Raw genomic sequence first — 24650 nt, 5'->3', positions numbered from 1 at the left:
ATACAAAGTCTGTTTGGGAGTTGACTCTTATCCAGCACTCTCTTCCTTTGAACACCTGTCCAGGTATCTAGGTCTAGCCCTCCTCGGGCAACACCATGCTCTCCCTGGCTAGCCAATAAATCCAGATTATCTTCTTAGCCCTTCCCTGTTTCTGCTCTGAGTACACCTTCTGCTCTCTGCCTAGTTCTCCCAGGCAGGTGAAATCTGCTAAGGGACCAGTTCCTCTGAGTGGCTGAGCCCCAGGAATGCACTGGTCTCCACTCCAAAAGAGACCCCCTTTCTTACCGCCACTAGCCATTGAAACTGACCCCTGTGCAACTTGCTGCCTTCACAGCAGAGCCATGGGCACTGTTGAATCAAATCCCTTATTGCCTCTACTTCTGAAATCAAATCATGTGGCTTCAGACTGCATGATAGGCAACATCAACAGCACTGTCATAAAAGAGCAGTCTGCTCACACAGGGTTCAGGCTCCCCAACACCTAGCAACATTGACTGAGTCTGTTAGCAAGTCCGTTCTGCCCTCCTCAGAAAGCACCACCAGGAGCCAGCTCGCTGAAGAAGGGTTTTCTTCCTAAGACTATTTCAGCTGCAGGGGAGAAGTAGGAAAAAAGGCAACAGAAAAGCAGCAGGCTTTCAAAAAGGGAGAAAGAGCTGGCCGTTTTGGTTACTTTTTCCTTCTGGCCCAATATGCCTGGGAAAGCTAGTCAGAAAGCCATTCTCTAAAGCACATTCAAACGATTCAATCTTCATTGCAATCTCAGGTGAAAAAAGGACCTCTCCCTACCCTCCAGCAAATGGGGAATGGGCTCATCTCAAATAAACCCCAAATTTATTTTCCCTCACAAACCATATTTAAATTAGGAAATCTGTGAGATGTTCTTGTCCTTCACTTTTTCCAAAGGCAGACTAGCGAGTGAGAACGGAAGACAGGAGAAGGTCTTAGCAAATCACAATCGACAATAACTCTGCTGAAAGCCTAGAAAAGCCTCCCTTATTTCCCCCCAAAATGTTGACTGTTACAGAAGGTAATCAATCATAGAAGCCAACTGTATCGACAAGATTGATATTTTGACCATTATAGACTGCTTTTTGTTATTCTGATGGGACTTTTGGGGAAAGGTTTTAAGAATATTTGGGGCAAAGCACATCCCAATTTGCCTGACCACATCTCCAGTGAAGCACATATGGCAAAATGCTAAAGAAACAGAATGTGGTCAATTTGCAAAATGTTTATTTAGAGAAATATATATAATGATAAATAATATATAAAGTACTATGGTAGTTAATGTCCATTAGAGAACATCTCTTTTTGGTCCTCAATTTGGAAAAAAAAAATCACACAGATAATACCTACTAGTTACTATTGTGAATATTGGTTCAGAAGCTTTGGAAAGGATTCCTTTGTTACCACAAAGGTGAAAAATGGCTAATTAGCAAAATATGCCATCTCTCATGTTTCTACAAATCATGACGATTGGAGCCCATAGGTTTAGTTTAGGTGAAGACACAGCAACAAGGCTATTTAAACCACTTACAGATTTATTATTTATTTATTTACTTATTTACTTTTGAGACAGAGTCTCACCCTGTCATCCAGGCTGGATGATCTCGGCTCACTGCAGACTCTACCTCCCAGGTTCAAGTGATTCTCCTGCCTCAGCCTCCCAAGTAGTTGGGATTACAGGTGTGCGCCACCACGCCCAGCTGATTTTTGTATTTTTAGTAGAGATGGGGATTCATCATGTTGGCCAGGCTGGTCTTGAACCCCTGACCTTGGGTGATCTGCCCACCTTGGCCTCCCAAAGTGCTAGGATTACAGGTGTAAGCCACCACGCCCAGCCCTAAACCACTTACAGATTTATTTTAACATAATATCCTCCTTGCACGTGAGAGAAGAGGAAAGAGATAATGAATATAATTTTTATCTATTAAAATACTGTGCTTTTATTTTAAGTACTTTTTCTTTACCCTGAAAATTAACTGACAGCAACTCAGAAAGAATCGTGGAGCTACTGGAAATGAATTATGAGTCAGCTAAAGCAATAGCTGCACCGCTCGGCTCCCCGCACTCCACAAGCCCTCCCTCCCACCTTGCATATGCTTTTAGCATTGTACTCAATTAAAATGGAAACGTGTTCTCAGTAATTGAGTTATAAAGGGTGAAGAACTCTGTCAAACAACACAGGAGGAATAACAACCTTCTCTGATAAAGAGTTTCTCAGAGCTGTAACCCACAGATCGCCTGAGTGAGACTCACCTGAAGGAGCTTTTGCTTATTTATTTATTTGATTATTTTTTATTGTATATGCCTACAGGGTACAATGTGATGTTTTGATGTACGTATATACTGAAGAATGATTAAGTCAAGCTAACTAACATCTGTTACCTCACTTACCATTTTTTTGTGGGGAGAGCATCTAAAATCTACTCTCTTAACCATTTTCAAGTATGCGGTACATTTTTAACTAGTCACCATGGTGTACAATTGATCTCCAGAACTTATTCTTCCTGTGCAACTGAACCTTTTATCCTTTTACCAAACAGCTCCCCGCTTCCCTTCCTCCCCACCAGCCCCTGGTAACCACCAGTCTACTTTCTACTTCTATGCATTTGACTTTTTAGATTCCATATATAAGTGAGATCATGCAGTATCTGCCGTTCTGTGCCTGGCTTATTTCAGGTAACATAATGTCCTTCAGGTTCATCCATACTGTTGCAAATGGTGGGATTTCTTTTTTTCTTTTCTTTTCTTTTTTTTTTTTTTTTTTTTTTTTGAGACGGAGTCTTGCTCTGTCACACAGGCTGGAGTGCAGTGGCACAATCTTGGCTTAGTGCAACCTCCGCCTCCCAGGTTCAAATGATTCTCCTGCCTCAGCCTCCTGAGTAGCTGGAATTACAGATGTATGACACCATGCCCAGCTAATTTTTATATTCTTAGTAGAGACAGGGTTTCACCATGTTGTCCAGGCTAGTCTTGAATGCCTGACCTCAGGTGATCCGCTTGCCTCGGCCTCCCAAAGTGCTAGGATTACAGGTGTGAGCCACTGTGCCTGGCCAAATAAGGAGATTTCTGAAGATGCTCATTTAAAAGACAGTCTCTTCCCAGAAGCACTGACTCAGAAAGAGCTAGGAATGTGCATTCTCTTATTATTATTTTATTTTGTTTTGTTTTGTCGAGATAGGGTCTCACTTTAACACCCTGGCTGGAGTGCAGTGGCATGATCACAGCTCACTGTAGCCTCAGCCTCCTGGCCTCAAGTGATTTTTCTGCCTCAGCGTCTTGAGTAACTGGGACTACAGGCATGCAACACCATGCCCAGCTAATTTTAAAAATTTTTTATAGAGATGGGGTCTCTATGTTGCCCTGGCTAGTCTCAAACTACTGGTCTCAAGCAATCCTTCTGCTTCGGCTTCCCAAAATGCTGGGATTCCAGTGTGAGAGCTGCCGAGTGTCTCATCAAGACACTGGCAGACACGGGCCACTGACTTAATATAAATGGTCACATATCTGTACATAGCTGCTCCCCTACTCACCTGGTGGACTCCCATGTCCTGCTGCAGCTGTGGCTATTGCAAAAGCAGAAGCCGGTGAAACAGAGCAGTGGGCATTGTCCGCCGTCTGTCCTGGTTATTTGAAAAGAAAGGAAATGGAATGGTGAGGCAAATGGATAATATTCTGTAACAAAAATCATCATTTTTCTTCCTGCACCAGATGAAGGACTGGGCCAAATGCCCTGTATTATCTCTGTTAATGGGCAAACAACAAGATTGCACATCAGGAATTCCACTCTGGGTCTATAACCAAGAGAAAAGAAAGCATACATCTACACACAAACGTGTACATGAATATTCATAGCACCATTGCTCATAGTAGCCAAAAAGTAGAAACAATCAAATGTCCACCAATTGATAAACAGAAAAATACAAGGGAATATTATTTAGCCACAAAAAGGAATGAAGTTCCAAAGCATGCTAGAACATGGATAAACTTGGAAAACATGCCAAGTTAAAGAAGGAGCCAATCACAAAAGGTCACATATTATATGATTCCCTTTGTGTTAAATGTCCAGCAGAGGTGAACCCATAGAGGGAGAAAGTAGATTAGTGGTTGCCTAGGGCTGCTGGGGTTGGAGGGGGAATGGAGAGTGACCGCTAATGAGTATAGAATGGCTGATATTTATAGGGTTTCTTTCTGGGTGATGAAAATGTTCTAGAATTAAATAGTGGTTATGGCTGCCTGAACTTGTGAATATATTAAATTAAAAAAAGACTGAACTATATACTTTAAAAAGGTGAATTTTATGGTATGTAAACTGTATCTTAATATAAAAATATTCTTAAAAAAGATACCATATCATGTTACTGATAGAATTTCCCTCTGACAGAATTTCCTTCTCAGAACACCCTTAACAGTACAGATGGTTTAAGTGTGGCCCTTTTAAAATCGAAAGGATGTATTGAGCAACCTTGCAGTCCCTTTCACTCCTCGGACTGTACACACAGCGTTTGGCAGTGCTGGTGCCAAGCTCGCTGCTTCTCCTCGCTCAGGCTTTTAGTGAAAACAGTCCACTGTGATTCTGACCTGAAGGGCTTTTATTAGCTTGGCCCTAATGTTTCACAATCATGCCTAAAATAAATACACACGTTAAGAGGGGAAGCAAAGAGCTGCTTAATGTGCCCAAGCACAAACGCATAAAACAGCTCTACCTTCTCTTTCCACAACAGACTTATTGCATTTTGGAACAAGGTGGCAAGTAGACAGATGCACAGGCAAAATTTCAGCTAGATAGAAATATGTGATGCTGTCCTTGTTCAGTTCCTCCATATTATCACAGGTTTCAGCCTCCTTCCCATGTTTCTATGTCTCTATGATTTAGTTATATCAGGGAAGAAACAAAGGATTTGGCTTAGTTAATCCACAAACAAGATGAGGATTTCCAAATAATCCTTATGTGAATTAAAAATTTTATATGTGAATATAAACATATGAAAAGAGAATATAAAGTAGAGTTCTAATAATTGTAACGCCTTGAACAGCATTTAACTCTTGCCTTGGTAGAGCCTTACTTCCATAGATTTTGGTCCCAAACTCTTCCAGGTTACAATGAAGTCAAAGGGATCTGTCCTATGTGGCAATGGTCAAGGAAGTTGCCAAGACCTGGACTGACCAAAGCTCTAAGAAGAATAGAGAGATCTGGCTAATTCCATAGTAGTACTATGACAAGCCAGGAAAGTCTAATTTGTCACCTTCATTTACCAGAAACACCCAAATGGCAGGATAACCCATAACTGACTTGGAGCCTTAAAGCCCCAAGGGCTAATATCCACAAAGGCAGACATCTAACAACAGCCAGACTGAGACCTTCCTAGTTGCTCTCAGAGCTCATGGCAATGACAACAGCTTCTACCAAGCTGCTAAGGCCACCGATAACCATTTGGAGCCATATACTTTACCTTTTGCTAAAATGCCCTATTTGAAGCATGCCTATGAGAGTCAAAAATGCCTTTATAGGCTGGGCGCAGTGGCTTATTCCTGTAATCTCAACACTTTGAGAGGCTGAGGAGGGTGAATCACCTGAGGTCAGGAGTTTGAGACCAGCCTTGCCGACAAAGTGAAAACCCGTCTCTACTAAAAATATAAAAACTGCTGGGCGTGGTGGCCCACGGCTGTAATCCTGGCTACTCGGGAGGCTGAGGCAGGAGAATCACTTGAACCTGGGAGGTGGAGGTTGCACTGAGCCGAGATTGCACCACTGTACTCCAGCCTGGGTAACAGAGTGAGACTCTGTCTCCAAACCAAAAAAAAAAGCCTTTTCATTTGGGTTACTTGGGGTGAATCCGGTTTCATAATTGTGTAATTTTCTGTTCTGACTTGAAATAATTGGCTTAAGAAGAGAAAAGCAAACATTTCAAAACAACTGTTATTTGGATATATTTATTTGAGCAGTGGGGAAAATGGGAGATAATTAAAATATTTCTACCTTTTGTTCTGATTAGTTTTTTTTCTCCAATTAGAGGACATTTATTATGTTCCCAAACAAATTATGGAGTAATGCTTTACAATTTTCTTAACTATATATCAAAATACATATGCCAGTTTCTGCCACTAGCAATAATGATGACTGGGGTCCCATGTACCTGGACCTTATTTTAGATGAAATAATATTATTAATAGGGTCTCCCCAGATTGTGATGCCCAGAGGAGTCCACTTATACAGACTACATTGGGACTCATGGTAATATATCAGAGACTGGGAACATTTTGGTAAACCCAGCACTGAGATTCTTCAGCTAGCTAACATCTAAAGAAAGAGCCTTTTGATTCACGTTACTCCTCACAAAATGCAATGCAATGATGGAACTAAACAAATGTTGGTTAGACTAATGACATCTTCTCTAATCATTTATTTTTCCACCACTTGGTCCTACAGTAACATTACAGTCATCCCTTGTTTCCTGTAGGGTATTGGTTTTAGGATCTCCCTCAGGTACCAAAATCCACAGATGCTTAAGTCCCTGATATAAAATCGTGTAGTATTTGAATATAATCTATGCATATTTTCCTGTATATTTTAAACCACCTGTAGATTATTTATAATAACTAACACAATGGAAATGCTATGTAAATAGCTGTCATACTATAATGTTTAGGGAATAATGACAAGAAAAAAAGTATGTACATGGTCAGTACAGAAGCTTTATTCTTCTGCCAAATATTTTTGATGGGTGATTGGTTGAATCCACAGATATGAAACCCATGGATGTGGAACCCACAGATACAAAGGGCCGACTGTATTTGCTTCCAATTAATTTTCAATAAGTGAGACTAAAAAAATTATTTTGGCAGTGAAACAATTAGGCAAAGGAAAGGTTCAGAAGCTAGAAATCATTTTTCACGTTTCTATTTCTGAGTCCCTCTTGAGCTCTTACCTCCAGGCTGTCGATAGCGGAGGTGCCGAGGAGTTGAGGGGGATCTGCAAGGTGAAAGTTCTGTGGTGTCCGCTGCAGGGGAGCTTTCCACTCCTGCTCGGTCCGCTGGTGCAGACTCTAGGACTGCTGCTTGAAAACATCATGAATTTTAACAACCAGGCCATGAATTCAAGAGCTTCTTGTCAGTATCATGCATGGAAACAAAAGTTCATTACAGATAATAAGCATTTCATTAAAGGGCTTTAATATGAAATCAAGTCAAGTACTAATGACACTAAATCTAAAAAAGGATCTTCTCTAACCCTGTCTTGATGACCCTGTTGGGCCTGGCTGACCCTAGCTGACCCTGGCCAGCCCCTTCTGTCAAATGCAGCAGCAGATGTTAAAGTAAACGGGGGTATGTGGTGGATCCCCTGCCCTTCCAAATGTTTTTGCTTTCTCTGAGTGGGGAAAGATAACTTTGTCAGGTCAAAAATCAGATTGGGATTACAAATCGGAACTTCACCAGTTCTTTGCCTGTGTTGCCCCCTAAACCAACCAAAGTTTGAATCTCTATAATGTGGCCCTCACCAGGGATCTCTGGGTCTCCCAGAGATCTAAAGCTATGTTGTCCAAAATGACAGCACTACCCAAACGTGGCTATGTAAATTTACATTAACTAAAGTTAAATTATTATTTTGGCTTCCCACTTGCACTACATTGAGTGCTCAGCAGCCACATGTGGCTAGTGGCTATGGTATTGAACAGCCCAGATATACAGTATTTCTATCCTCCCAGAAAATTCTACTGGGTATCTCTGAGCTAGAGCTACAGATCAGCAGGAAACACGTGAAAATCTTTTAAATGAACCATTGGGAGGGTTTAAGGTCATTTGAGCTTCTTTGCTGCAGCTAACATCCCAAGAATAACACACACATCATTTTAGGGTCACCCTTAGGCCATTACTAATGATGTTTCTATGCCCCTCCCACTGATTTATTAAGCAGGTAAGACTACAACTTTGTGTATGTTCTTTCAGAGAAAAATACCACAAAAATGTAATACATTTCCAACGATTCTTCCATTCTTCTTGGGCTTTTCATTAATTCCCATTGATAACAGCTTAGTGTCACCTCCACTAATTGTACATTAATCCTGTCAGCAGAACTACTTTGCTTTGCCATTCCATTCAAGATTTCACTCAACAAACTTTCAAAAATCTCTAATGACTTCATCTAAGGCCATTTTTATACTTGCATGTGACTTATCCGCTTAGAAATATGGCCACAATTTTGCTTTTTTGAAACACAAAGGGGCCAGGAAAAGGAAATGGTTAGAATCTTTCTCTGAATGACATAATTACAGTAAAGCTGGCAACGATGCAAGATGCAGACAAAAAAAATCAGTGCTTAGCTGTCGGTTTTATTATTTTCTAAATAACTGCCCCAAAATTCAGTAATGGAAGGCATCTGCTCTGTAAGAACGAGCAGAATATCAAATACATGTCCTTGGTCTGATTCAACCATTCAGTCATCTCAGGAAAATGAGAAAATCATTAGACAGCAATTACATTGAACCCAGGAAATTTCCCAATGAGAAAAGCTGGATGGACCCTGACTGTTCTGAAAGAACAGGAAAGCAAAGAAGAATCCTGTAAGCTAACAGGCACCTACAGAGAGAAGAAACCATGCCAGCACTGGGGGCTGAGGGGAGAATTCCTTCTGGCATATTCACTTTTGATCAGGCTCCTTGCAAACAGCTTTGCCTGCAGGACGAGTGGGCAGATGTGGCTCAAAACAAATGCTAAAATCGGGAGCACTTTCAGCCCACAGGCAGGCAATTTTCAAACTAAGAACACAGAAACAGACACTAGTGCTGTGGGCTGTGCAGCAACACAGGTGGCTAAGTTGCACGGCCATGGTCTAAGTGAACACTGAGGGAGTAATGGGGTCTGAATACAGTGAGCGACCCTTTGGCTTGCCTTTCTTGCCTGCTGTTGGTTTGGTTTTTGTTGAGAACCCATCACTGGGTGGAATCTGGATATCTGAGTCTGGCTGATATTTGTGTTTTGTAGAAGCACCTGGGGTTGAAGAAGATAGAAACTGACTGGTAATGAGAAGAGAGGGTATTAGTGAATGTTGGATGAGTCTGGAACAGACGTGAGGAATGAGTTGGAGGGAAATTAAATTGAATTATTTTTTCCCTAAGTTCATTGCCTCACTCATTTTAAAGGATATTTCCTATTTCGCTTCTTTCTCCTCACATTGTTTGACGTTCTCCTGCCAGAAAATTTTGCAAGGCTGGCATTATCATTGCAATGACAATAAAAATGGACAAAGGTCACTAGCACTTTTCAAAAAACATGCCCTGAAATGAATAGCTGGATGGCAGTGAGGGAGACGTATGGCATCAATAGGGACCTAATTGGCAAAACTGATATTATACAATGAGGTGGTGTGGGGTTGTATTCTTAAGTGAAAAGCAGAAAATGTGTAAGTTCTTGGCACGGGATTCATATTCAAGTTTGCCAACTGTTTTAAGTGTTAACATTATGTGATACACGCAAACATCTTTCAAATTAAAGATGGATCAATGTCTCCTTTTTCTTTGTCAACTCAAATTTTTAAGACTAGACAGCAGGGTTCACACAGCAGCACTTTTGGCTCTTACAGACATCACACACACACACACACAACTTTCAGACTCATGCTGAAGTAGTGTTCATCCATGACTTTCCTAAAACTATTCACGACCAGTATTGCCCATACACCAATACAAAAAAACAAAAACAAAAACAAAAAACCCTACAACTGAGTCTGTAATTTGTTTCACTTATTCAGAAAAATGCCAAAGAGCTACCTCAACCCGAGCCTTAATTCTAAACTTTCTACCCAGAGTGTTTCCTTCGCAGGGATCCACAGGATAAATTGTTCTCAGTCTCAAGAACTAGCAAGCATGTGCCCGCACAACCAATCTATTCCTAGCCTTCAATATGAATCACAATAATTGATTATATTCCTGTCTTTACTGTGCCAGCAGAGGAGCTTGGAACCAAAGTCAGGGGACTCTAGGAATTGCAGAAGACCACACAGTATTCATTTGTTCAGTAACCATACACTTGGCCACACACAACTTATTCCTTTTCTCCCATTGTCTGATTTCCTTACCTATTTTATTTTATTTTTGTCTTTGTTTTTTGTATTTTTGAGACAGGGTCTTACTCTGTGACCCAGGCTGGAATGCAGTGGTATGATCAGAGCTCACTGCGTCCTTGACCTCTTAGGCTCAAGTGATCCTCCCGCTTCAGCCTCCTGAGTAACTGGGACCACAGGTGCACACAGCCACATCTGGCTATTTTTTTTATTTTTATTTTTAGTAGAGACAAGGTCTCACTATGTTGCCCAGGCTGGTCTCGAATTCCTAGGCTCCAGCGATCCTTCCACCTCGGCCTCCCAAAGTGCTGGCATTACAGGCATGAGCCACCATGTCCAGCTACCTATTTCATTTTAATGTAGTTGTACCCTGTATCTCTCTGAATGACCACCTTAAATATTTTTAAGTATAAGATGGGAAATAAATGCATTAAAAAGAAATTAGAGGACAGCTATAGAAAGGGAAAAGAAATAAAGATGCAAAGAAGTGGCTTAATGGAAGGATTAAGGGAGGGATCAGGGTAAAATGAGAGCTAAGGGGGATGCATTAGGTGGTGAATGTGACTAAGAAGCCTGGGGAGCAGAGGAGCTGACAGCTCTGGAGTAAAGGTTGGCTCTACGGGCTTCACCAAGTGCCATGGGCCCCTCCTAGATACATACAATCTTGGACTTTCTCCATTACCCAGAGTGGAAAGAGCTCAGCATTTAACTATTTTAGAGTACTGGAACTCTAAAATGATATTTCTAACCTATGAACCATCTGGATAAATTAACTGAAAAAAATATAACACTAAATCACTTGTTTTGGGGAAATCCAGTGAGAAGCAGAGGCATGAAGCCTTCAACTTAATTCTCTAATATGAGAAAGAGCCTAATATTTCGGCCATACTGTTATTCACAGGTTCCCTCCATCTGCTGGCCCCAGGCCATGAATGATCAGTGCTGCCACATGACAAAGCTCTCCAGCAGCCACTGGCTGTGTCCACATGATCCCACTCTGTCCAATATCTGTACTGACAGGTCTTCGAAGCCTGTGTCAGTGTCCTTCCCTAAGAGCTTGATCCAGCTCTTTCTCATTTATCTTGGTCTCTCCATGCTATGATTTGATATGTCCCCTAAAGTTCATATGTTGGAAACTTAAACTCCAATGCAACAGTGTTGAGAGGTGAGACCTCTAAGAGGTGACTACATCATGAGTACTCTGCACTCATGAATGAATGAATGCCTTTATCTTGGGAATAGAATGAGTTTGGCCTACTTCACTCTCTTTCCCACCCATGTGATACTTTCCACTATATTATAATGCAGCAAGAAGGCCCTCACCAGATGCCAGCCTCTAGAACTGTGAGAGATACATTTCTGTTCATTATAAATCACCTAGTCTCAGGTAGCACAAAACAAAGACAGAAAATTAGTACTGAGAAGTGAGGTTACTGCTATAACGAATACCTGAAAATGTGGAAGTGGCTTTGGAACTGGGTAATGGACAGATGCTGGAAGAGTTTGAAGGAATGGGCTAGAGAAAGCCTGTATTGCCATGGATGGAGCGTTAAGGATGATGCTACTAATAGTCAGCGCTCAGAAGAAGAGAAGAGCTTTCAAGAGTCTGAATCTCCTTAGAGATTACTTAGGTGGTCATGATAGAATGTTGGTAGAAATATGAATAGTAAAGGCAATTCTGGTGAGGTCTCAGATGGAAATGGGAAACAAGGTGTTGAAAACTGGCATAAAAGCCATCTTTGTTACAAAGTAGCAAAGAACTTGAGTGAATTGTGTTTATGCCCAAGGGCTTTATGGAAGGTAGAACTTCAGAGTAATGAACTAGGATACCTGGTGGAAGAAATTTATAAGCAAAATATTAAGAAGCTGCATGGCTACTTTTAAATATATGCAAGAGGAAAGAAATGGTTTAAAGGCAGAATTTATAACTGAAAGGGAAACAGAGCAGAAAGACTTGGAAAATTTGCAGCTCAGCCACGTAAAGAGTGAAAAGGCCTTTTTGGGAGTGCAAACCAAGGCTGTGGCCAAGTGACCTTTCGCTAAAAAGATTAGTACTAAAGAGAGTATGGCTAAAAGAGAGCCAGGTGTTATTCATTAAGACAATGGGAGAAAGACTCCAAAGGTATTTCAGAGATCTTTCAGACAAGATAGGACCTTGAGGGCCAGGTTGACAGAGAGGAATCTAAGGGACCACAGCATTTGCTGCCCAGGGCTGCTCCCCACATTCCTGTGCAGTGCTCCTCAGCCACACTAGCTGTGGCCCAGGCAAACCCAGGTACAGCTTCGGCCACCGCACCAGAGGGTGCACATGGAAAGCACTGGTGGCATCCATGTGGTGCTAATTCTGCAGGTGCACAGAATGCACAAGCTGTGAAGGCACAGCTTCCTTCACCTAGATTTCAAAGGATGCTGCAGAGAGCCTAGGGTCCCAGGCAGAGACCTATTGCAGGGATGGAGACACTGAAGAGAGTCCTCACTGGGGCAATGCCTAGTGGAGCCATGAGAGTGAGGCCATTGCAGAAATCCTAGAACTGCCAGCATGCAACACCAGCCTGAGAGAGCTGCAGACAAGAGGCTCTAATCTATGAGAGCTGAAATGTGGGCTGAGCCCAGAAAAGTCATGGGAGTGGGCCTGCCTAAGGCTTTGGGCACCCAACCCCACCCCAGTGTACTCAGGAGGCAGCACATGGAGTGAAATATTATTCTGGAGTCTTAAGAGTTAATGTCTGCCCCGTTGGGTTTCAGACTTACTTGAGGCATGTTATACCTTTCTTTTTGCCTACTTTTCCCTTTTACAATGGGAATATCTATCCTATTCTGGTCCTACCACCATATTACAGTTGGAAGGGAATTTGCCTCAGGATGAATCATGTCTTGAGTCTCACCCATATCTGATTCAGGTCTCACCCGTATCTGATTCAGGTAAGTCTCTGGACTTCGGACTTATCAGTTGATGCCAAAACAAGTTAAGACTTTGGGGGCTATTGGGATGGAATGAATATATTTTACATGTGAGAAGGACATAAATTTGGGGGAAAAGGGACAGAGTGTTATGGTTTGAATGTTTCCCCCAAAGTTCCCATGTTAAAAACTTAATTCCCAATGCAACAGTGTTGAGAGGTGGGACCTCTAAGAGGTGATTATATCATGAGGCCTCTACACACATAAATGGATTAATGCCATTATTGCAGTAGTGGGTTCCTTATAAAAGCCTAAGTTTGGCCCCCTCTCCTCTCTTTCACGTCTATGTGTTGCCTTCCACCATGTTATGACAGAGCAAGAAGGGCCTCACAAGATGTCAGTGCCTTGATCTTGAACTTCCCAACCTCCAGAATTGTGAGAAATAAATTTCTATTCATGTACAATTATCTAGTTTAAAATATCCTGCTATAACAGCCCAAAACAAAGTAAGATACCCCAAGTCTAACTTTTTTCCAGCTTATTGTTCCAGGGAAAAAAACTATTGATTTCTACTTTGTCCTAGACAGTAGCTCAAGCAGCTTTCATGATAAGGTATTGGATCATCACCTTGAAGACTAAAACTAGGGAAGTTGGTGATCGAAGTGGAACATTCCCTGCACAACAAGTTAAAGTGGAACACTTAATCATGCTGATATCAAATAGATATTTGCACACCATATTCATTGCACCGTTATTCAAACAGCCAAGAGGTGGAAGCAACCAAAATGTCTATTGATGGATAAATGCATAAAGAAAATGTAGTATCTGCATACTGCATTTTCTTATTATTCTACCTATTAAAAAAGGAAATTCTATCACATGCTATCATATGGTTGAACCTTGAGGACATTACACTAAGTAAACTAAGCCATTCAAAAAAGGACAAATATTGAATGATTCCACATATATGAGGTACTTAAACTTAAAGCAGTCAAATCTGTAGAGACAGAAAGTAGAAAGCTGGTTGCCAGGGGCCGGGGGAGAAGAAAATGGGGTATTATTCAATGATTATAGAGTTTCGGTTTTGCACGATGAAAAAGTTATAGAGGTCTGTCGTTCAACAATACTATTGAGCTATACACTTAAAGATACTTAAGATGGTAAGAAGAAGAAGGAGGAGAAGAAAGATTCTCTAGGAGAGTTGTTGTTTTGAAGTTTACTCCGTGCTAGAAAGCCCTAAGAGGACTACTAACAAGGTCTGCTCTACAGGGCTGCCCATGCTGTCAAAACAGGACAAAGCCTGTCCTTTCAGAAGCAGTGATGCTTGTGATACTTGCAGAAATGGCATTCACTGGCTGGGTATGGTGGCTCATGCCTGTAATCCCAGCACTTTGGGAGGCTGAGGCGGGTGGAACACCTGAGGTCAGAAGTTCAAGACTAGCCTGGCCAACATGGTGAAAGCCCGTCTCTACTAAAAATACAAAAATTAGCAAGGCATGATGGTGCGTGCCTGTAATCCCAGCTACTCAGGAGGCTGAGGCAGGAGAATAGCTCGAACCTGGGAGGCAGAGGTTGCAGTGAGTCAAGATTGTGCCACTGCACTCCAGCCTGGGAGACAGAGTGAGACTCCATCTCAAAAAAAAAAAAAAAAAAAAAAAAAAAAAAAAAAGAAATGGCATTCACCACTAGTGATTACCACCACACCTTTACTTATATATTCTCTTTGCCCAGAAATTCTCCCATCTCTTCTTTCCAACCCACATATGTTTTGGCTCATGTCAAAGACACTTCTTAATTCTGCTCAACCAGATGTGATCTCCCTGCTCTTCAGCTTCCAGAGCACTCTATCTACACCTCTTATACCACTTGCCCATATAGTTATGTTGTGTCTGTATTATCCACATAACTAGAGTATGACAGTGAAGGTGCTATTTACCATTGTGGACTCTAGCACACACAGTATCCTGCACAGAGAAGAGGCTCACTCAATGATTCTTGAACAGACTTTACTGTATCCTCATCCCAGCCCCATGAGCAATCAAACCACAGCCTCCAAGCCACTGGTGTTGGACACTGAAATGTTTGTTCCTAAAGGTTTCCTCAACAAAAACAAAATAAAACAAAATAAAAAGAGAGAAAGAGAGAATCCCGACTTATCTCCAGATTTCTCCTCTCCTATCTACCGCAGTGCAGTAAAGAAGGTGAAAAAACTTGCCATGATCTGAAAGCTCCTGTACTTCCCATACCCCCATGCCCCATTCCAGTCATTCCCTCCACAGGGTTTCCCAAGCACTGGCGCTGGGTGCAACCCTGAATGCACTTGTCAGCTTGTGCGCTGCCTCATTATTCCTGATAAGAATCCATCATGATTTTGCTTAAGCTTGTTGTTCTAATGACTTTTTAATTATCTTCTCCCTTTCCTCCTCCTTAGTTGCTAACTTGTCAATTTAAAGACTTTAAAAGAGTGCAACTTTTGATTATGACAACCACTCCAGTTAAAATTCCATTAACTACTTCACTCAGGAAGCTTATTTAAATGATCTGAGCTAGAAGCACATAGAAGCTTCAAGCAGGTAGAAAGGCAAGCCTCTATGCATCCATCTGGGCAATCCACCTTGAAATTGGACACTTTGTCTGATTTATTGCCCAATTTTTATTATATTATCAATAAGTCAGTTCTTATACAGTTTTTTAAAAGCTGTTTGTAATTTCACTGTGAATCATTTTTATTTTCATTACAGAAACATTGGACTTTAAAAGCAACAAGAATCACCTCTTCCAACCCTACACCGTACCAAGCTGAGAAAGCTAAAATGATGGGAGAGAGGACCCTCGATCAGTTCACTGTATATTTTATTTCATTCATTCATTTAACAAAAATTTACTACTTGTCAGGCACTGGCCAAGACACTGAGGGTATGGAGGTGAGTAAGACAGACTGCTGATCTCATGGAGCTTACATGGCAAAAGTGGCCAAGCAGAGGAAAGAACAAGTGCAAGGACCCTGGGGCAGGAAAGACCAAAATGCTTTTGACACAAAAAGGAAATCAATGTAACAGTAGCCTAGTAGATGAGGGAGCGTGGCAGGAGCAGGGGCTGGAGAGGGGGACAGGATCCATGTCTCACAGAACTGAAGGCCCTGGCAGGGAGAATGTACTTTATTCTAAGTGTGACAGGAAGTCAGTAGAGAATTGAAGCCAGAAACCCTATGACCTAATCAACATTTTAAAAAAACTATTTTGGCTACGTCACAAGCAATTAACACTGTCTCCAATTTGGTTTCTCTCCTATACCTCTGCTATAACATGGAGCACTGTCCTCATAACTAAACTAAAGAAGCCATTGTGGTACTTCCAGCCTAGCTCATCCTCAGCAGGGAAAGGCTGGAGGTACACAGGTACCTAAGGCAAATAAGGGAGGAGGAGAAAGCTCTGCAGCCTGAGCTCACGGGTGAGGGTACCCACAACCTCCCAGTGTGCAAAGCACCATGCTAGGCTCTTCAGCCAACCAGTCTTAACCAAATTCCAAGAACTCTCTAGCAATACCATTCAGATATGCTATTCTCCCATAGACAACTGACCACAATAAGCCTTTTACTACAGGGGCATAAGGACAACTAATCTTGCTTTCTGTTCCAGAAGGGCCAGAAGAATCTACAGGAATTTTCTCTTCTAACTAACCATTGAGCTCATTCTACTTTCTATGCAGAAGTATTACAGTTGTAAAGAAAGGGAACCAGTGTTCCAAAAGGAAGGGTGAGGAGGCAGGCGGCCAGCAAATGTGGGGTGTAATTATGCAAATGTGCTAGATAATACCTTTTTGAATACTTCGTTTTAGCTTGTTACACAGATCCACGCGTGGGTTATCGACATTCTCTTCTACCGTTCCCGGGCTTTGCTCTGGAGAAGAGAGGCCTCTGCTGAGATCCAGTGGTATCTGACCAGTGTGTGGTGGTGGAGACGCAGCGGGACTCTGGGTGGTGGTGGTGGGACTGCTGGAAGTTGTCAGGTCCAATGCTCCTATCTTTGAGTTCAAGGGAGAAGTCAAAGACAGCTTTCTGGCCCTCACTGGGGAAGATGTTCTGGACACAGCCAGTGGTGGCGGGGAAGAGAATTTGCGACACAGACGTGGGGATTTGCCATCCACCAAATGTTCACCTCTGTTGTTCTGGCTGGTAGCAAAAAACAATTCCAATGACCTAAAAATGAGAGCAAAAGTGGCTAAGAGATTGTAGCCAAGTGAAATGAATTCCCAGATGTCATTCAAGAACATGTTCCCTTCATTTATAGGTCACAATCTCATTGCACTTCTATTGCTGGACTTCCGTTAATCTAAATGCTACATGTATACCCTCCACCTGCCAAAGAAGCACAGACACTTATTAGGCATCGTCTAATCCCTTGCTACTAAACTGTGGTCCAAACAGCAGCATTGAGATCTCTGGGGAGCTTGTTAGACGTTCAGAACTCAGGCTCCACACCAGGCCTGCTGAATCAGAGCCAGCAATTTAACAAGACACCCTCCCCACACCACACGCAACTGATTCTTATGCATATTAAAGTTTTAAAATCATAATTGTCAAAAAAAAAAAGAAAGAAAGAAAGAAAAAAGAAAAGCCGAAAGCAATGGAGTTCGTTTACAAATAATCACAGAACAAGCAAAGGCCAACTGGAAATTTCAGGTTTTCAACTTCGTGCCTGGGGAACTCTGTGTGACCTTTACATATGGCCTTCTGCTGGAGGGGCATGGTACATTCAGAGGCAAGCTAGTACACCCTAGGAGCTGCTTTGCAGAGCTGGCCTGCTCATCCTCATGGTGACTCCGGAACGAAGAGGGCCATATGCGAATGACAGGCTAACCTCTAGCAATAGGTGTACCTGACAGGGATGGAGGTGAAAGGCCTCTTGTATATGTCGGAGAGTTTCCCCAGCACCACAGCGGCAGTAGTGAAAATACGATAGGTGTGCAGAAAGGTGTTGAGGAAATCAATACTAAGAAACCGCAAGTCTGTCAGTCGTTCCAAGAGGCGCTCCACGCTGGCATAACGGATCTGGGGCACTTTGCAGGAGTTGAGTGTTTTACTGAAGCAAATGTCAGTGTCGTCTTTATGAAGACGGGCATCAGACCTACGTGCAAAGGCAGGAACATGATGGTAAAACCAGGAGGAGGCTTCCCCCTCGGCCACTGAATATTTCAGCGTTTGTAATCACACACTCAGGAGTGGGCTTCTCACTGCATTTGATAGGAGAGAGATAATTGCACAGTTGTCCCTCAGTATTCTTGGGGGATTGGTGCCTTGATCCCCCCACCATATTAAAATCCACAGATGCTCAAGTCCCTGATATGAAATGGTATAGTATTTCCACATAACCTATGCACATCCTCCTGTATACTTTAAATCATCTCTAGATTACAATACTTAAAACAATGTGAATATTACGTAAAACGTTATCCTGTATTTTAAAAATTTGTATTATTTTTTATTGTTGTATAGCTATTTTTTGTTTTTCTTTCTTCCAAATATTTTGGATCTGCGGTTGACTGGTAGGTAGAGGGCTGATTGTGTATGTCTATATGACATATAGACATATAGGCATAGGCAGGGCTATGAAAATATCAAGTTTTTGGAAAGCCAGAATTAATAATGGAGGAGGTAAATAATAATTTGTCTCACTCTGTGGATTCCTTCTCTCTAATTCAGTCATGTTTTATTAGGAAGATGAAGCCAAAAGCCCTCTTTAGGAGTGGGGGAAAGCATTGCTTATGCCCTTAAAGCAAAATATCAAAAGTGTGCATAAAAAGTAGTGGGTGACACCTCCCAAACAGGGGGACACAGATATCACTGCTATATCCGCAGTTATTTCTTTCTCCTGACTTTTAATTTTGTACATTTGTGCTTTCCTCACCCCTCCCCTTTTATTTTTTTCGGATTAAACTGATGGATATAGGGTTAGGTATTTTGCTCTCTAGAATCAGCTCTTTTTATTTACCCCTTCTACTGTTTTTTATATTGTATTAATGTCTCTTCTTATTTCCTTCCTACACTTTCCTACAGTTTAGTCTCTCATTCTTTTTCTAAGTTCCTGATTTGAGTGCCTAATTCATTTATTTCATTCTTCCTGGCTTATTAATGCCTTTTAAGGATATCTATCTTCTGAATACTGTGTAATCCATAAGTTGCAAGTGTGACATGTTATGTTTTTATTATGTTTTCAAAATTCTGTGGTATTAAAAATGTCTTCACTTAAAAAAAAGTAATGGGTGTAAGATATTCCCCTGAATAGCACCTACCACTGCCATCCTGCAATCCACTGCTTTTGTCATTCTGTAAAACCTCCCATCTGGCTGCCCCGAACCCCTCACCTTCAGACCATTGCACTGGCAGCCTCTCCAAGTGGACAACGAGGACCACCAGTAGCTTTCACTTCCCCTTCTGAGATCCCTTGTTCACCTTCACTGCAGCATTTCAGGACCGGCGATCAATGAAGTCCTGAATTTCACCACTTGATTAAAGGATATGCTACAGGGTAGGGTCAGTGACGTTCAGTGAGCCAATTGCTTGCTAAGAATCTGTTGGCTGAGAATCAGTTGTGAATGCCTTTAATTAGCCCTTTCAGCGCTTTGAGGGATTTGAAATTATATATCTATTTTCTTTCGGATAAAAAGGAATCAACTGCTTTCTTAGCTTGCTCTTAGAAACATCCCAGCCCAAAGTATGCTCAGTGCAGATGGAAGTACTTCATCTGCAGGCCTGAAAGAGCATTTTCAATGAGCAGCTTCACCCTGCCAAGGAGCTGACTGGGGTGGCCCGTTAGCTTGAGTTACATTACTGATCTTGAAATGCCCAAGTGCATCTTTTGAGATTCTTGAAAATAACAAGGCTCTTTCTTCCACTCACTATGTGTCCCTCAACCAACTTTATTTTTCTGGTTCTTAATTTGCTCATTCGTAAAAAGATCTGAGAAAATTTTATGAATTCATCACCCTGTCCAGAAGATGGCTGAGCTAGATAATCACTTGTTATCCCATCATTTTCCACCAAAAAATCTCTAATTTCTAAGAAAGTTGAGATCAAGTATTATTAAAAGAAGTCATAGTCTACATACCCTATAAAGGGATATTTTCACCTAATAAGCGTCATGATTTTCACATTCTATTTGTAGTTTTGAGCTTTGCATCTTTTGACTATAATTAGCTTATTTGAAACACTAGGACAAAAAATGTGTTGAAGCCAGCATGAAATTAAAATAAAACTGACTAATTACACCACTTTCCTTCAAAATCGTGATTACATTTTCATTTTAAGTAAAGAAATTAAATATTATGAAATTATTTAGCTTTCTTTTATTACACTGAGTAGAATCTTACTTTATTTCCTAAGAGACACTCAAGAAAAATATAATACATTACTGAAGTCTCCTATGATAACAGCAACTCCTTTTTGGTAAACACTTAAAAAGCAATCTTGAGAGATCAAACCCAAATCATCTATTATAATTGGTAAGTTTTAAAAGGAAGTGAGTGCTTACAAAGTGACGCCCTGTCAGTAAGAAGACACAGTTACAATAAGATAATTTTTTTTCTTTTAACTCTGAGAAACATTGGGATTTTTCTTCATAGTTTATAGATAGGGAAATAGATACATAGGGAGGAATACAAACTTCAGGGAAGAATAGAGCCATCAGAAGGAACAGAGATTGCAAAAATCTCTTTCCTCTGATTGAGGATAATCAGGCTCAATAAGGCTGGGAAAAAATAGTAGTATATACATAAAACTTCACTCTGCCTTGGGAATAAATCTAGTGTACTATAGATATGTTGGATTTAATAGAAAATCTTTACAGTCCAAGATACAGGTTTCTGTCCTAACAGGAGAACAATTCCAGTTCATTAAGTGTCACCTCTGTGCACCCAAAGGCAGAAAAGTCCTGGTCTGTATGTAAGTGGTTACACAAATGAGATTGGACGTAGACACTGGTAAACTGCCACAGTGGGGGACAAAAGATGCATTTGGGTGCCAGCAACAACTGATCAGGCACAAAACTGAAGTCTTCGTTGGTATTTTTTTTTTAAATGGAGTCTTGCACTGTTGTCCAGGCTGAAGTGCAATGGCGTGATCTCGGCTCACTGCAACCTCTGCCTCCTGGGTTCAAGTGATTCTCCTGCCTCAGCCTCCCGAGTAGCTGGGATTACAGGTGTCCGCCATCATGCCCGGCTAACTTTTTGTATTTTTAGTAGAGATGGGGTTTCACCATGTTGGCCAGGATGGCCAGGCTGTTCGCAAACTCCTGAACTCAGGTAATCCACCCGCCTCGGCCTCCGAAGTGCTGGGATTACAGGCGTGAGCCACCGCACCTGGCCTATTATTTTAATTTTTATATGGAACTTGAACATCTTAGGATTTTGTCCTGAGTGAAGACATATGTAACAGTATAAAAAACAATTTTTCTATGCTATGAGTTAATAAACTGTGAATGTGAAAAACCATTTTGATAGTCTCATTTATAATGGAATCATATGAATCACTGCATTCCTGTCAAGAAACATATTCTCAACAAGAAGCAGAATTCTATTGACACAGTATTTTATTCAAGGTTTTACATGTTCCGCCAATTTAATCTTGATTAAAATGTAAAGGAAAGGATTCTCACACTTACTTAATCATATGTGGCACAGTGACTTTGGAATTCTCTTCAAACACTATAGTCATTAAACCATTACATCGTATATTGTCCACACACTGTGAAATAAAAAGTTGACAATTACAACCCACATGAAAGCCTAGGCAGATCATATATTCCCACAATTGTTTATAGCTAAAAGAATCCATTCAATTTCTCTCTCCCTGTCTCTTACACACACACACACACACACACACACACACACACACACACACACACAGAGTAGGTAAATATTATACACTGATGAACAGATTCAGTATTCAGACACCAAAACTGTATCAACTAAATGCCTGACAAATACCTGAGGACAGATACAACAGCTGTACTTCCCCTGAATGTGTTTCCCAAGAATTCTGACCACAATGTCACTTTGTCACAATTCTTTGGCAGCTCCAATGCTATTTGAGAGGTGATTGGGACCTGACCATGATTGCTCTTGCTATATTCATTTTCTGCAACCAGGGGGTGGTGTAGAGTAGTCAGATTGGAAATAGTGGCTTCCTAGGATGGAATTCATCTTCTGTCTCACTAGTAAGCTCTGCCTCTGCTTCTCAGGTATTCTTTGCCAATAAATTCCCACATTTTACTAGTACCTCTGGCAGCCCCTACTGATACTAATGCTGTTTGGTGAAGGGACAGTGTGTAATTTCTCCTGTCTCTGGCATGCTTAAAGCCTTGTATCATCTTTTTCTCTTTTCCAAGAGGAGAGTTCAGGAAGCTGTGCTAATTTTCTCTGCCTTCATTATTTAATCTATGCCTTATCAATTTGCGTTTTCTCTCTGTAATTATTTTGGGTTAGAGAAGAATTTATTTTGACTTATACATATTCCCTTTGAACAAAACAGGAAAATGAAAAAATATAATCAATTTTTAAAATAAAAAATAGCTTCTAGTCGCTATGATACTATATAGTGTTTTGTGGCTATAATTAAATAGTGCAGTGAAGCTGATTGCAACGTGACCTCACATAGGTCCTGAACTCAGGGTCTACCCTAAACACCAATGTTCTAATAAAAGAGTGAATATGCCGGTAAGAAACTTTAGATCACTGGAATTCTGACTATTCAGTCTACTTAGTATTTCAGCCATTTTCATACTTGTTTTTCCTTAAAACTTTGTTTTCCTCATGTCTTATGCCATTATTTCAACTACAAAGCATAAAGGATGCCACTTGTGGCAAGTAAGTAGAATATTTTTAAGCTCCCCTTCAATATATTTCCTTAAGCTACAGCATCTGGAAGTAATTTGGAGTTATATTTTCATATAAATAATTATGATCATCTACCTATAAATTTGGCCATTTTTGCTTATATGTGAATTTATGCTCCACCTTATCCCACGAGTGGATTACAAAAACACATATAATAAGACAGAGTCAAGATAAGTGAGAAAATCAGAGATGATTTAGATAAAGGATGGCAAACAATAAGACGAAGCCTGAAATGGAACCACCACACATACTTTATGTTGAGAGCGCTTGCCAGAAGTGAGCCTCAAAATTAGCAGGGCTGTGGAGTAGTCAACTCAAAGAGGGACTCAGTGTTAGCTACGAAATTCACAGTTTAGTAGAAAGTCAATTAATCCTGGTCTAGGACCAGACAGGACAATTATCTCATGGGTTCTCATCAAGAGAAATATTGAATAATGTAGTGAACAATGTCCTCAACAATATCTTGTTATTATTATTATTTTTTAGAGACACTGTCATTCTGTTGCCTAGGCTGGAATGCAGTGACACAATCATAGCTCACCGTAACCTCAAACTCCTAGGATCAAGTGATCCTCCTACCTCAGCCTCCTGAGTAGCTGGGACTACAGGTGTGTGCTACCACAGTGAGATTTTTTTTTTTTTTTTTTTGTAGAGACAGGTTCGTGCTATGTTATCCAAGCTGGCCTTGAACTCCTGGGCTCAAGCGATCCTCCCATCTTCGCCTCCAAAATGCTGGGATTACAGGTGCGAGCCACTGCACCTGGCCAACAATATCTTTAAATAACTACAAGTTTTGGCAAACTGTTTTGTATAAACAGCTGAAAGTACAATTCCAAACACACAACCCTGTAGTGGACCCCAAAGAATGTGACTCAGAGGCCCATCCTTCCTCTGCTGGTCTGGTTGCAAGCACAGGTTTCACACTTTCTAGAAAAAAGCAGGGGCTGCTCTTCTTCACACTGAAGAAATGCTGCTTCTCTTATCCTAGTTCGTGTAAGTCGTGAGCATCAGGAAGTTGGAAATAGTGTTTTCCCAGAAATCCTGAAACTGCTGCATCCTGTGTGTCCAGTTATGTAGAGTCAGTGTTTCAACCAGCAAGCCAAGCTGCCAGTAAGTGGGATATCCTCTTGTGCCCCAAGAAAGGCCACACTACCTCTCTATGGGAAAGTTCTGTCAGGACCTGATGAAAATACACATCAAGGGCCCTGTTTCAAAGTGGGAACATACATGGAAGAATGAAGAGATGGGGCTGGCTGGTGCACGCATTCATAATGGAGAAGAAAGTAAGAGAGAGGACAGAGAAATCAGTTGGAGGCAGGCTATAGAGAAAGGAGTCTTGAATTTTAATTTTATCCTATAGGCAGATGGGAAGCCACTGAGGGTTTCTAAGCAGCTCACTTACGCTGAAAGATCTAAACTGACCTCATGGTGGTATTCGTTCAATGGAAACGAGGGGAGAATGAATGGAGACCCAAGGGATGATCAGAATAATACTGAATCAGTAAATGAAATGATTCATACCTCCCCTAAGGCAGACTGTGAGAATGAAGAGGAAAGGGTGGACATACATATTTTGAAGAAAGGAATAATAAAAATTGATGAACTACTGAATAAAAGCAAGAGAAAAAAACAAGGTAAAATCAAAGATGGCCATGGTTATAAGGCAATTTTAAATTTTCTGATGCAAATATATTTAAAAGGAAAAAAACATAGCCAAATGTCTTTCGAATCACCCAGAGTTTAAACAAAGTTAGACAGTCTATGTTTTGAATTCTCAAGAGCACCAAGAAGATGC

General features: G+C 41.1%; 1 protein-coding gene across 7 annotated transcripts in view; it reads right to left on the bottom strand.

The window, feature by feature from the left end:
* The window catches only part of RASGRF2 (Ras protein specific guanine nucleotide releasing factor 2), a 269800-nt gene that overhangs the window by 99463 nt on the left and 145687 nt on the right, over window positions 1-24650 (bottom strand). For all 7 annotated transcript variants that reach the window (NM_006909.3, XM_005248565.2, XM_017009683.2 and 4 more), the window contains 5 exons: window positions 21622-21704; window positions 17842-18090; window positions 16780-17162; window positions 6933-7058; window positions 3537-3626 (listed from right to left, as the gene is read on the bottom strand). In NM_006909.3, the coding sequence (NP_008840.1) occupies window positions 3537-3626; window positions 6933-7058; window positions 16780-17162; window positions 17842-18090; window positions 21622-21704 (931 nt within the window). The remainder of the gene's footprint in view (window positions 1-3536; window positions 3627-6932; window positions 7059-16779; window positions 17163-17841; window positions 18091-21621; window positions 21705-24650) is intronic.

This window comes from Homo sapiens, chromosome 5 (genome assembly GCF_000001405.40).
Source record: "Homo sapiens chromosome 5, GRCh38.p14 Primary Assembly".
In the NCBI taxonomy this organism is placed as follows: Eukaryota; Metazoa; Chordata; class Mammalia; order Primates; family Hominidae; genus Homo; species Homo sapiens.
This window is presented reverse-complemented; position numbering and strand designations above follow the sequence as displayed.